The 14,620-nt window shown below is 39.5% G+C and overlaps 1 protein-coding gene and 1 long non-coding RNA gene across 12 annotated transcripts in view; one reads left to right on the plus strand and one right to left on the minus strand.

The window, feature by feature from the left end:
- Positions 1-14,620, minus strand: part of SLC12A6 (solute carrier family 12 member 6) — a 108,274-nt gene that overhangs the window by 13,014 nt on the left and 80,640 nt on the right. For all 11 annotated transcript variants that reach the window (XR_931960.4, NM_001042495.2, NM_001042494.2 and 8 more), the window contains 10 exons: positions 13,432-13,486; positions 12,465-12,595; positions 11,551-11,792; positions 9,373-9,587; positions 8,102-8,260; positions 7,834-7,932; positions 7,501-7,558; positions 2,896-3,070; positions 2,488-2,606; positions 1,177-1,275 (listed from right to left, as the gene is read on the minus strand). Coding sequence is in view for 10 of the 11 variants with exons in the window: in NM_001042495.2 (NP_001035960.1) it covers positions 1,177-1,275; positions 2,488-2,606; positions 2,896-3,070; positions 7,501-7,558; positions 7,834-7,932; positions 8,102-8,260; positions 9,373-9,587; positions 11,551-11,792; positions 12,465-12,595; positions 13,432-13,486 (1,352 nt within the window). In the remaining variant the exon portion in view is untranslated. The remainder of the gene's footprint in view (positions 1-1,176; positions 1,276-2,487; positions 2,607-2,895; positions 3,071-7,500; positions 7,559-7,833; positions 7,933-8,101; positions 8,261-9,372; positions 9,588-11,550; positions 11,793-12,464; positions 12,596-13,431; positions 13,487-14,620) is intronic.
- On the plus strand, positions 329-3,025 carry LOC124903461 (uncharacterized). Its single transcript, XR_007064576.1, has 2 exons — positions 329-1,144; positions 2,455-3,025. It is a non-coding gene; the product is annotated as an uncharacterized LOC124903461 (long non-coding RNA).

The raw sequence follows: 14,620 nt of genomic DNA on the forward strand, positions 1-14,620 counted from the left end.
AGGCGGATGGATCACAAGGTCAGAAGACTGAGACCATCCTGGCTAACACGGTGAAACCCTGTCTTTACTAAAAATACAAAAAATTAGCCGGGTGTGGTGACGGGCGCCTGTAGTCCCAGCTACTCGGGAGGCTGAGGCAGGAGAATGGTGTGAACCTGGGATCTCAGCTCACTGCAACCTCCGACTCCCGGGTTCAAGCGATTCTCCTACCTCAGCCTCCTGAGTAGCTGGGATTACAGGCATGTGCCACCATGCCCGGCTACTTTTGTATTTTTAGTAGAGACGGGGTTTCCCCATGTTGGTCAGGCTGGTCTCAAACTCCTGACCTAGGTGATCCGCCTGCCTTGGCCTCCCAAAGTGCTGGGATTACAGGCATGAGCCACCACGCCCGGCCTCATAAAGAACTTCTAACTAACATTAAAGCTAGAAAGAGGATTTGAGGCATTAAAAATCAGTTGAAGATTTTAATTTTTGCCCAGTAAACGTTACATCACTGCCCACCATTGGTAAGTGAAGACAGAAAGGGAACAAGGAGAAAGTTAGCAAAGAAGAATGTAGCAACGGGTACATACAGGACATAATTAATGAGCTCTGAGCTATAAGAGGAAAGAGATGGGATGGTAGCCAAAAATCTTTCATGATGACCCCTTCAGGACTGGGGAGACTTAACTACAACAGCAGCAGCAGCAACAGTTCATTGAGAGCTGAGCTTTACTATGTATCAGGCACTACGATAAGCACTTTAGATTTATTAGTCCCATTTTACAAATGAATAAAATTAAATTTTACATGGTTATGTGCTTTGCTGAAGGTTACAAAGCTAGGAAATAGTAGAGCTGAGATTGGAATTTAGAACCTCTGACTCTGTAACCCTAAGAGACAAACAGGAAAATAAACATGCAAGAGAAGGTTGTTTTAACCTGAAAATTATAGAAGGCTGGATATCTCTATTTAGTGCTTTTGCTCTATTCGTATTGGGTGTTATAAGTTATTATAAAGTGATATAGGAAAATAGGATAGGAGGATGAGGATTCAGATAAGAATTGAAAGTTGAAACAGTATGAAATGGCTGACCAAGAAAAAAATTTTATCGAGAACCCAGACTCTCCTAGTTTTCTAGTTCAAAGATGGGTTCTCTCCAAACGTGAGTAAAAAGAATAAAAGAAGCAGACTTACCAATGGTAGTAGCGGAATCGGGGTCTCCAGTTGGGTGTTCGAAGTAATGTTTGCAAGGCACATGCCAAGTTTACAAAGAGGTAACACATGAGAAAAAACCTGAAGAATAAAGAGTAAGAGGAATGATTATTACTGGAAGATGATTCTTTGAAGGTTAAGTAACTGAATACCTTTGCTGTATTGAAGCCTGTTTCTAGACAACTAACCCTTGATTAAGTAGGAAGTAGGGAAACTTAAACCTCTCCCCACAAAACTGTTCATCCTTCTCTGTTCTCTCAGTCAATGACACAACCACTCTTTACCCAGTTGTTCTTAGGATAATCCAGGTTTCCTCTTCCTTACCCTTGTTCCAAATTCACTTACCAAGTCCTATGGATTCTATTTAAAAATCTCTTAAGCTGCTTCTCTTCCTTTTCATCTCTACTACTAATCACCTTAGTTCAGGCTCTCATTTCTTCTTTCCAATTAGCATTCCCAGCTCAATTCTAGCCTCCTTCTAATCCATCTTTTATACAAGATTGATCATCCTAAAGCATTATCATTTTGTGCTCAAGGATTACCCACTACTTCCAGGTAAAAGTTCCAGGACCTTTGTGATCTGGGTCTACCTACTTCTCTATTCTGTTATTCCCTCAACATGTACCCTCCACTCTAGCCAAGCCAAACTACTTCCAGTTCTCTGGATGTGCTACCTTATGCCATCCCTCAATTCCTTTATATGCATTCTCTGCCTGGAATGTTCTTCACCCCTTATTTTCTTAGCAAATAACCAGTTATTCTTCAAGATACAAGTATCACTTCCTCCGGAAAATCTTTCTTGAGTTTCCATCTGTTTAGATGCCTTGCTCTGGTGTTCCTAGGGCACTCAGTGTTCACCTTTATCATGGCACTCATCACGCTATATGGGAATCATTGGTTTCCTTATCCATTATCAGTTCCATAAGATTGTGTCTTATCCATCTTTGTATTCCCAGAATACCACATTACACAGTGCCAGGTAAGTAGTAAGCATCAATAAGTCATAGGTGAATAAATAAATAAAAACTAACAGTGGTGGTAAAAGCTACAACCAATTGACAATGAATTAGAAATGAAGCCAAAGAACTTTTGAAGTTAAATAGGTAGGAAAAAACCTAATAACTTACAAAAGTTAGCCTTACTTGGAAGTTCTCAGGAATGATTTTTATTTAAGTGAAGTTACATCTGTATTTAGCCCACTCTGTTATCACTACTGTTATATGACTGATGGAAATAAACATGCATTATTTATCATTTAAGCAAGAATAACTGAAGAGAATCACTGGCTCTTACATGGAAAGAATTGGGGCCACAAGATCCAGGGAGGCAATGAGTATTCCAAGCTCTGCAATGGCAGCAGTTAGAAGTAAAGCCCAGGTAGGTTCCCCATTGGCTTTGCTGTGGCCAAAAACCTGTACACAGAAGGGAAATATCAGGCACAGGAGTACTGAGTCATTGCTCTCTGATTTCTCTAGCCTACAGTTTTCAGACATCTGGAAGACAACAGTGTTACAACTGTGATACCTTTTAAATACCTTTACAGCACTCACAGGTAAACTCATGCTTGGGATTTAGAGGTTCTTGTACTAAAAACCCACGTCTCCACATTTATGATCTAGTAATTTCTAAGCCCATGAAGACCACACTGTTTCTCATTAAAGCTGGGAAAAAAAGAAGAGGGCATAATAAAAGGTCACTCACCCTCAGAAACGGTATGATGTTATCCTTGGCAATAGCTTGTAGCAGCCTCGGTGCACCTGTGAGGCTCTGAAGTCCAGCCCCACATGTTGAAAAGAAGGAGCCAATAACAATCACCCATGGGGATGGCCAAGATAAGGTGCCTACCACCAAATTACCTTTCACAGCATCACCGAACCTGGGAAAGAAATAGGAGTGGGAAATTTAATCTGGAAATAACTTTAGACTGAAAGACTAGAGATATTCACCCAATTTTTTTTTGAGACAGAATCTCACTCTGTCACCCAGGCTAGAGTGCAGTGGTGTGATCTTGGCTCACTCCAAACTCCGCCCCCCAAGTTCAAGCAATTCTCTTGCCTCGGCTTCCTGAGCATCTGAGATCACAGGTGTGCACCAACACACCTGGCTAATTTTTGTATTTTGAGTAAAGATGGGGTTTCACCATGTTGCCCAGGCTGGTCTCGAACTCTTGGCCTCAAGTGATTCACCTGCCTCAGCCTCCAAAAGTGCTGGGATTACAGGCGTGAACCACTGCGTCCAGCCCACCCAGTTTTTTTTTTCTAAGTTTTAGAGAATCAAAAGTGAGACAAATAATATTACGAAATATAAGATAGCCAGATTTGATCAAACGGCACTATTGACCTATATTAGGAAAAAAATACATATGGGGCTAGAAAATAAGCTAAGCTTCAGTTGTAACTTTCCCCTTCAGGGTATCAAAATATCTGCTTTTTAGAAAAATCGCGATCTCACTGCACTATAATTCTGTATTCTTGAAATGTAAGCATTTTTCTATGTCATAAAAAGCTATGAATAAAAATTTGTAGTGATTTGAATAATATTGCATCACAATTTCTTATCCATTCTTCTAGTGTTGACTTTCTATTATATAAAATATTATAATTAACATCTTTATGCACATATCTACATTCACAGTTCAGGTTTTTTTCCTTAAGGCAGGTTTTGTTTTTTTTTTGAGACAGGTCTCACTCTGTTGCCAAGGCTGGAGTACAGTGACGCTATCTCAGCTCATTGCAGCCTTGACCTCTCTGGCTCAGGCGATGCTCCTGCCTCATCCTCCCACGTGGCTGGGACCACAAGTGTGTGCTACCATGTCTGACTAATCTTTTACAAAAGTTTCTGTAGAGACAGGATCTCGCCTTGTTGCCCAGGCTTGTCATGAACTCCTGGGCTCGTGTGATCTTCCCCTCTTGGCCTCCCAGTATGCTGGAATTACAGGCATGAGCCATTGTGCCCAGCTAAGTTATGGCAGATTCTTAAGAGGGAATAACTAACCAAAGGGATCAATATCTTAAAACATTTCAAAATCACTACTAAACTGCTGTCCAGAAAGTTTGTACTAAATTTTACTCCCACTGGAAATATAAGAAGATTCAAGTCTTGTGGCACATGCACACTCCACACCAGTCTTCTGTATTAAAAAAAATTAAGGTCACTTCTAATTTGATGGGTGAAACATAGCATCAGTTTAATTACTCGTTTTAACAATTTTTATTAAGTATCACACACAAAAAGTAGTGTGCAAGGCTGGGTGCGGTGGCTCACGGCTGTAATCCCAGCACTTTGGGAGGCCGAGGCGGGTGGATCACGAGGTCAGGAGATCGAGACCATCCTGGCTAACACAGTGAAACCCCATCTCTACTAAAAATACAAAAAATTAGCTGGGCGTGGTGGCGGGCGCCTGTAGTCCCAGCTACTCGGGAGGCTGAGGCAGGAGAATGGCGTGAACCCGGGAGGCAGAGGTTGCAGTGAGCCGAGACTGCGCCACTGCACTCCAGCCTGGGCGACAGAGCGAGACTCCATCTAGGGGAAAAAAAAAAAGTAATGTGCAAAAAAACAACAAATGCACATCTGAAGATTTCTACAAATCCAACACCCATGCTGTAGGTGTTGACCTACTACCATGCAGGTCAAGAAACAGAACACTGCCAGTACCCAAAATTCTCTCTTATGCCCATCCCCACTCATTAGTCCTTTCTTCCTCTCCACTATCCTGACTTTTTTTTTTTTTTGAGACAGGGTCTTGCTTTGTCACCCAGGCTGGACTGTAATGCTGTGATCATGACTGACTGTAGCCTCAACCTCCTGGGTTCAAGTGATCTTTCTGCCTCAGCCTTCCCAGTAGCTAGCACTACAGGCATACGCCACCATGCCCAGCTAATTTTTTACTTTCTGTAGTGACAAAGTCTTGCTATGTTGCCTAGGCTGGTCTGGGAACTCCTGACCTCAAACAATCTTCTAGCCTCAGCCTCCCAAAGTGCTGGGATTACAGGCATGAGCCACCATACCCAGCCCTCTGACTTTGAATACTATAGAGTTTTACCGTTTTAAAACTTTATATAAATGATACACAGTACATACTTTTGTGTTTGGTTTTCTTCACTTAGCATTGCTTGTGAATTTTTTTGGGGGGAGGTGTATATTGCTATGACTTACTTTGCTGTATGGCTTCCTATTACATGAATATATAATTTAATCATTCTACTAGCGATGGACATTTGGATTATTTCCAGGTTTTGGCTATTAAGAATACTTATGAAGAGAAAATGAAGCAGGCAAAAATAAATAAATAAATAAATAAGAATAACACTACTGTGAAAATTCTTGTGAATTAGTCTTGATGCACATGTGCAAGCATTTCTGTTAGATATACCTAGAAGTGGAAATGCTGAGTCATAGGTAAGCACATGTTCAACTTTAGGAGATAATAACCAATAATTTTCCAAAATGATACTCTAATTTACACTCTCAATAATAATTTTTATATCATGGTGTAACTTACCAAAGCTCCATGAATTTCCTACTACAATGGTATAGTAATATACTATACTATATACATACATATATACACCCCCACCCACACACACACACACACACACACATATACTGTGTTATATACATATATATATTGTGCTTTTTATTTTTGTCAACAATATTTATATTGCATCTGTTAGGCTTCGAGTCCTCAAAGAGCTCAACGTGTAGGGGAGAGTAATATGAAAACAAGTAGCTGCAATATAGCATCATAAATGCTATAATATAGTATATTCAAATGGAGTTGCTGAACACAAGGTGGAGTGTTTACCTCTGTTTGGGTGAGTATGGGAAAGCTTTACAGGAGAGAAGACCCTTAGCCTAGTCTCTAAGAGGATGAATATGAGTTGGCCAGGTGGGAGTAACCTATTCTAAGCAAAGGAAATAACACAGACAAATGTGTTTATACGTGGAGACATAATAAGACATATTAAACTCTAAGTTAGGGAGCTTATGAGGGAATGGCAGGAGATAACAGTAAAAAGAGGTAGAGAGGGCCAGATTACAGTGATGGATTTTAACAGGCTTTGGCAGGCTCTGAAGCAGGGAGGTTTGTATGTTCAAATTTTGTGTTTTAGAAAAGTCATTCTGGTGGCAGTGTGGAAGAAGGATTAGAGGCTAGAACTAAAAGGGAGATTATTACAATAACATAGGCAAAAATCCTGAAGGTCTGTACAAAGTGAGTGATGTGGATAAAGAATAGAGGATACATCTGTGTAGTATGGGAAATTTTAATAAAATAATAGCGGAAAGGGCTGGGTGTGTTGGTTCATGCCTATAAGCCTAGCACTTTGAGAGGCTAAGGTGGGAGGATTGCTTGATCCCAGGAGCTTCAGACCATCCTGGACAACATAGTAAGGCCCCATCTTTACAAAAAAAATTAAAAAAAACTACTAGCTGGGTGTGGTGGTATGCACCTGTGGTCCCAGCTACTTGGGAAGCTGAGGCGGGAGGATTACTTGAGCCCAGGAGGTTGAGGCTGTAGGGAGCTGTCACTGCACCACTGCACTGTAGTCTGGGCAACAGAGCAAGACCTTGTCTCTAAATAAATAAGTAGAAAAGAAAAGAAGAGAAGAGAAAAGAACAGAATATGAAGAAAGTAAGTTTCAGGCTTTTATTTAGAATGCCAAACACAATTAGATACTTATCTCTCATAAAGGAGATGCTAGAGACACTTGAAATTTTATTTACTTGCCCTTCTTGACTTTTGGTCTCGTTTCTGAACAGTTCTTGATGGACAGGGAAGTCCTCATTATTCAGACACATTCACTGCTTTTTTGAAGGACTGTATTTAACTGTCTCATATATTCACTGAAAATACTGGCCCCTTTGGGAACTACATTCATATATTTTCTTATTGTTAGTCATGATTGATAACTCAGGTTGGGTTATTTTTTTGAGAAAGGGTCTCACTTTGTCACCCAGGCTGGAGTACGGTGGCACAATCATGGCTCACTACAGCTTTGACTTCCCAGGCTTAAGTGATCCTCCCACCTCAGTCCCCCAAGTAGCCAGGACTGTAGGTGCACACCACCACACCTGGCTAATTTTTGTGCTTTTTGTAGAGACAGGGTTTTGCCATGTTGCACAGGCTGGTCTTGAACTCCTGAGCTCATGCAATCCACCTGCCTTGGCCTCCCAAAGTGCCGGGATTACAGGCATGAGCCACGGTGCCTGGCTGTGTTGAGTCTGTAACTGTCTTGGAGCTATGTGGAATGATCAGAAGTCATGGCAGACACACACATAATTGTTACAAAGAAATTCATTACTCACTTGTCTCTGAGAACAACCCCTTCAATACATGCACCAAAAAGGACAACATTGCTTAAATCTACCATATTGAGAGTCAAGGAAACTGTTGTTTACCCTCTAACATGAGATAGAAAGTAGACACTCAGTAGACACTTTCTTCTGTCAGTAAAATGAGCTGCTAAATACTCCTATAAATTCTTTTTTGAATTTTCTATATGAGGTAGGCAGATAATCTGGCAAGAAGTGAAGTGATAGAAAGCAGGTATCTTTGTTACCAGGATAAAAATACTGATCATCTAGTTCTACTGGATGCTCCTATGACTAAGACTCAGACTGGATCCATAAAAAGGATACAAACAAAGGAGGTGGTCAGGATGGCAAGGATAGTACCAATCGGAATAGACTTCTGAGCATCTTTCAGATCTCCAGATCTGTTTGATCCAGCCATGATACCTTTAGAGATAAGGGGGAAAAAACCAAGTTAACTTCTTGGACACTTTGATATTGATACTGATAGCAAAGAGTAGAAGCAAATCTAGGAACCCTGAGAATTCTGCCTCCTGAGAAAAATCACTCCGTGGGTCTGACAGCTTCTAAAATATACAACAGCCTATGTGTTTACCTGTAACAGAGGGAAAGAAGATTCCCACCAGAAGCGTGAAGGAGGTGGTGATGTCAACAAGAACATATTCATGGTTTAAGCTGCCTAAGACATCAGAAGATTTGGCTGAAGGCTTTTCGATGATCTCTCCCTTGGGTAGGTAATTACTCCAAAGATTCTCTGCAGTGGGAAAAATGGGAATTTAAGCAGCAGCAGTATGAAAAAAAAAAGATAATTAATTTTCTACCCAAACATTCAAAATCAGGCTCCTCATTTATACAGTTTCTAAAGGTGTGTTTGCTTCTACATGAGCACATGTATACACACACATTGCACAATAAAACACACATAAATAAAAACATAGTTTTTTTTTTGTTTGTTTGTTTTTTGAGACAGAGTTTTACTCTGTCACCAGGCTGGAGTGCAGTGGCACAATCTTGGCTCACTGCAAGCTCTGCCTCCCAGGTTCACGCCATTCTCCTGCCTCAGCATCCTGAGTAGCTGGGACTACAGGCGCCTGCCACCACGCCCAGCTAATTTTTTATATTTTTAGTAGAGACGAGGTTTCACCATGTTAGCCAGGATGGTCTCGATCTCCTGACCTCATGATCCTCCCACCTAGGCCTCCCAAAGTGCTAGGATTACAGGCATAACCCACGGCGCCCAGCTAAACATAATGTTCTTTCTTATCTAATTTAAATATAATTTGACAAAATGATTTGGTACATGCAAATATAGTTTAACTTTACTAATGCAAATTAGTAAAAGTTAAACAGACTAAAACTAAATGCCCCACAAATCCCATTATTATTTGTCATCAGTGCTGTTTCTAACACCTTAATGTAAACTTACTTATGTGCAAAGAAATTTATAGACCAAACATTTATAATAGAAGACACTTAAGGAATGTTTCAGGAATTTAGCTAAGTTAGGAAGATACATGTGGATGTGGACATTAAAACAGGTCTATTCTGTCAGTGCAGGAAGAACATTGGCAATTTTACAAGAATACACGGAATATTTTACCGTAAGGTTAGAAAGTGATTTGCTCAACTCTGCTCTGAAATGGAGGTGAATTTTAGCAGACATCACTCTGTAAAGGAGTACTGAATAAGGACAGCTTTACTAATGGAAAAGCAGAAATATGGTGAATTAAGAGCTGTGTGGTGTGCTTAAGAAGGGAATTAGCACCATGGCAGTGAATCTTTATGGACAGTAGAGGAATCTAAGATGACAAGGCCTATTTTCCCCAGAAAATAGGAAAAAACTTGTCCAATAACTCCCTAACTTACCTGTAATTATACCACTAGCCAATCCAGGAATGCCCTGGATTGAAGTGACGTTATTGTGAACAAAGTATTCATCACAGGTGGCATTGAAAAATTGACTCGAGTTACAGAAGAATCCCCATAACTTTGATGGGACTGTCATGTTGTTAATTTCCTTGGTCTTAGAGCAAACGTCAATGTGTCTTGATGAAAGGGTGCGGTTACCCAGCATGCAGACCCTAAGTGAAAAGAAATAGGGAGAAAGATCAAGTAAGGAAAAAAAGTACATTAAAAAAAAAGGAAACAGGTTAGTAAAGGAAACAAGAACCCCATCTTTAAGAGCTTCTACTGTTATGGGTGGGAAAGGAACTAATGTTTATTTATTTATAATTTATTTTAACACTGTGAATGGTGACTTACATTTTCTGCCAATTTAATACTTACAGCAACCTCACAATGTATTAGAATTTCTATGTTGTGGATGGAGGCACTGAAGTTTAGGAAGACAGGGAGTTAATTGAAGGTTAGGGAAATACAGTTATCTGTCCAAGGTCATAGGTGGTGGCAGTGAAGGAAGTCAAATTGAAGAACTGTCTGAAGACATTATGCTGACTCATCTTCCAAAATTTTTGGCTAAAATTGTTAGGTCTAAAAGAATACTGAAGTCCTTTTGTTGTTCTTATAAAGTAAAAAGCACTCCTCTTTTTTTGGCCTAGAAAAGCCTAACATTCATAACAAACACCTTGAAAATGTTATGCTAAAGGTTGAATCTTCTGGCTACTGTTGCAAGGAAAACAGCTTGGTCAGAATTAAAAGGCAGATCCCTCTATGGCCTAAGAGAAAACTGTTTTTGAATTTAAGCCTAGACTCAGTGGGAGTGACGGTAAGGATAACATAAATATTAACCTGCTGGTTTTACTTTTTTCTTTAACCCAGAGACACAAATATAAACAAAGGAATAATACATCCATAGTTAAAATACCTCTCAGGTCCAACAAAGGGACTTCTAAAATTTGCAAAATGATTGAATACATTATTATGAACCATGTACCTATTACTCAGCTTCAACAACTCTCAACATTTCCCAGTCTTGTTTCATGTATTATTCTAGATTTTTTGTCTTGTTTTGCTGGAATATCTCAAAGAAAATACCATGCATTATGACCGTGTACTAATCAAAAAAGAGGAGAAGCCCCAAAGGTGAACCTGAGACAAAATGGAATTTCCCAAATTGAGATATAACCAGAATGTCACCTTTAGAAATTTTATGCCCCTAAAAAGGACCTTCAGCTGTATTACAGTCCCTAGATAAGCAGATTAAAAGTTTAAGATGGAATCTACTTCTGCCATCATGCAGCATAGCATAGAAGAAATACTGAATGGGGAGTCAGGAAATCACAGTTCATCTTCTTGCTCTGCCATTAATTAACTTTGAGGTAAGTCATTAAACCTACTGGAACTGTCTTTTTGTCTTGAAAAATCTTTTTTTCTGTAATCTGGTTAAATCAACATAGAACCGATGAGTTTGATCCTCAGATAATCCAGATGACTCTTCAAGATAATTCTGTAACAAGACTACAAATAACACTGAGTGCCAGCTAGTCCCTATGCCACTAGTCAAAGGGAAAAGTGAGCCTGTGAGTCACAGATGTGCACAAATCCATTACTACTTCAAAAAACATACTTTAAAGTATTCGCACTAGGGAGTTGAAGGAGGTGGTGAATGATGAGAGAGTACTTAATGGGTACAAAGTACATTATTTGGGTAATGGATAAAAGCCCTGACCTAGGCTGGGCGCAGTGGCTCACGCCTGTAATCCCAGCACGTCGGGAGGCCAAGGTGGGCCTTATAAAGGTTGCTGGCAATAACTACACTGTCTGCAAAGCCCTTTATGAATAGTTCAAAATGTGTATAATAAAAAAAGATTATGTACAATTATCAGGGAGAAAAAAATCTAATATCTGAACCTAAATGATGGTTACAGCTACTAGTTCTATGCTTAGGACATAAGAAAGAGGATGAACGGGACATAGTTTGCTGGTAGGCTTCCTGCCTAGATGAGGAAGGAAGTCTAACTGGGCTTATCTGAGAGGGAAAATCTCAGAGAGACTCTATGAAATTCTGACTTAAAATTATCACACCACCAGATATTTTCAATTACTACCCAATAAGGATGGCTAGGCAGAGAGACAGACACGTACGGGAAGTGTGGAGGAGCAAAAGAAGACTTGATGGCTCCAGCATAGATGGCCAAGATGGACACAATGACACAGGCCAGGAAAAGTGAGGCAAACTTGTTCACATAGCGTACGCCGATAAATACCACTAATACCATAAGGACCAAGAAAGCTGTGCCGTAGACACGCATGTTATTTAGCATGGCTGCTGATTCCTTGAGTGCGTCATCACTGTGAAAGATGGCAGCTCGGGGGACGATATAGACCTGTTAGGTAAAAATAAAGGAGAAAATTAGGTTATTTCAAAATAATTAAGTAAAAAGGCTGTATTCGTTTGCATTTACTTTCACAAAAGAAAGCAAAGCTGAGAGAGAAAATGACTGGGGAATTAGCCTAGTTTCTAATAGGATCTGAAATGCCTTCAGAAATGGGATGTCATGGATTTTTTTTTTTTTTTTGGTCTACATGCTGTTCTGAATAACTACATTTCCAAATGGAAAGAAAGGAAAGGAACAAATTATTAATTTTATTCATAGGGTTATATAAAGTAATTATAATGATGATCTTTAACCCTGACTCTACTATCACTACTTTAAATAGTAAACAATATGTCTCAGTGAAGAGAGATATGAGAAGCATTTTATTTCATAGGGATGAAGATATCAAAAAAGATAAACTTTATTTTACTTTTTCCCCATTGGACTTGAACCTCTTGGATGAGGTGGCAGAGTGGTGGCAATCAGGTAGAAAGGAAGGGACAGGCAGGCAAACAGAATTTCAACCTTTCCACCTCATATTCATGTAAGAGGCCAACTGACGTTGGCAGTCAATCACCTGATTTATTCCCACAGCTGATCTCTCAGAAGCTTTCATAGCAAAGAATAAACCTAAATCAATATTTCTTCTATATTATAGACCACAATGAAGTCATTACTTACCAGAAAGATTTCAATGGCACCAAGGATGTACATGGCTGCTGCAAATGTGGTACCAAGATAAAAGCAGAGGCCAACAGCCCCACCAAACTCTGGGCCCAGTGCCCGGGAAATCATAAAGTATGAGCCCCCAGCTAAAAGACAAAACAGAAGGTGAATAGAAGAAAGAGTGTGTATTAGCAAGAGGAATATGAATAAAACAGAAATAAGAAAAAATATATACATAAAGGTTAAATGTTTCAGGCTTCTGCAAACCCTCAATGTGATAAAAAGATGTGCTAGTGGGAAGTAAAAGGTGAAAGTGTTATTGTGGGATATACTGCACAACTAATGTAATGAGCCATATGAAGCAATAGTTTGCCAGCATTTACTTAGAAAAAAATTAGAGAATATTTACTATGACATGAGACAGCCCAATAAAATATATTCTGGCTGGGTGTGGAGGTTCACGCCTCTAATGGTAGCACTTTGGGAGGATGAGGCGAGAGGATTGCTTGAGGCCAGGAGTTTGAGACCAAACTGGGTAACATAGTAAAATGTCACCTCTGTAAAAAAAAAAAAATAGCCAGGCATAGTGGTGTACACCTCTAGTTCCAGCTACTCAGGAGGCTGAAGTGGGAAAGCAGCTTGAGCCTAGGAGTTGGAGGCTGTGTGAGCTATGATCGTGTCACTGCACTCCAGCCTGGGTGACAGAGTGAGACTCTGTCTATAAAAAAATATATATTCCAACTAATAAAAGCTAAGAATGTGACTGAAATTAATGCATTCTAGTTTAAAAAATAAAGAGATTTTAAAGACGGCATCTTAAAGTCAAGTAGTATTATGTCTACGTCCTATAGACCATTACTCTGTTGTAGCACAGAACAGACCAAATAGTATTCTATTCTTCAGAAGTTTGCACCTCTAGCTTTATAGCATAAACACAGAGTCAACACTGATAAATCCTGAAATACAACCTTGACCTACTAACCTGGCACCACTCCATTAGTGGCAATGGCACTCATGGAGATAGCAGTCAACATTGTCTGCAGAGAAAAGGAAAGGAGAGGATTGTTACTGTGTAAAGATGACATTTCTATACTACTTCTCCATTTGTGTTCCAAGAGCACTTGGCAAACATTTAACTCTACCTACTTTTATGGACAGTCATACCTAATGGTATGGAAATAAGATGATATGGTCCAATTCATTGCGCTAGTCATACCACTAATATCTGGAGGATTCTGTCAAAATGCTCCCACATCAGTAGGTCAGGTGCTATTAAGAACTGCTAATCTCACTCTGGATTTCCTAGTTACACAGGAAATAGAGCATAGTATACTCAAAAGGAAGAACTAGAGAAATAACTCAGAAAATAGGTTAGAACCTGACTAAAGACTAAATACAATATCAAGAACAATGTTCAGTAAGAAAGGGAATCACTGAAGGCTTCTGAGCACACAGGAACCGCATTTTAAAAATATTACCCGGTAGCACAGTATAGAATGCGCTGCAGATAGGAGTAGCTGGAGGCCGAGTGATTGGTTAGCAGGCTACCATAGTAGTTCAGTGAGAGGTAAAAACTATAGTGGTGGTAGTGTGAATAAAAAGGGCTGAGTGTAAAAGATTTCAGAGAATAGATTAGCGTTGGTAGCTGATTAGATGTGAAAAGCAATTAAGAAGCCAAACACAGCCTTGAGGTTTTAAGCCTGAGACTAAAAAAAGGTGGTACCATGAACATTTTAAGTTATTAAAAATATGAACTGTGCCTGCTTAACCTGTTTTGCTCATCAGCTGGGGATAATATACAGGTAGGGTATAAAGGTCATAGTGATAAAAAAGGACAGTAGAAAACTATAAAATTCATAGGTGTGTCTGGGATACATAATGAGAAGTTTAAATTAAAGGAAGATAAAAATGTTCTCAGTAGAGAGAAGACCTGGAAAGAACATCTAAATTTCTAAGGAAGGGATAAGGGAAGAAACTTCAAAACCAAATAAAAAAACCAAATACCCCTCACATCCGCAATAACCTGTCTTGTTTCTCAATATATACTGGAGTGATACATCACATTTTCTAACACATTTTCTGTCACAACTTTGGTGCTATCAAGCTCAAATAGTTTGGATTCTGAATTCTCTGAAGACAGGAACTTTATCTTCCATTTTCAGTTGAAGTCT

Source organism: Homo sapiens, chromosome 15, assembly GCF_000001405.40.
Source record: "Homo sapiens chromosome 15, GRCh38.p14 Primary Assembly".
NCBI lineage: Eukaryota > Metazoa > Chordata > Mammalia > Primates > Hominidae > Homo > Homo sapiens.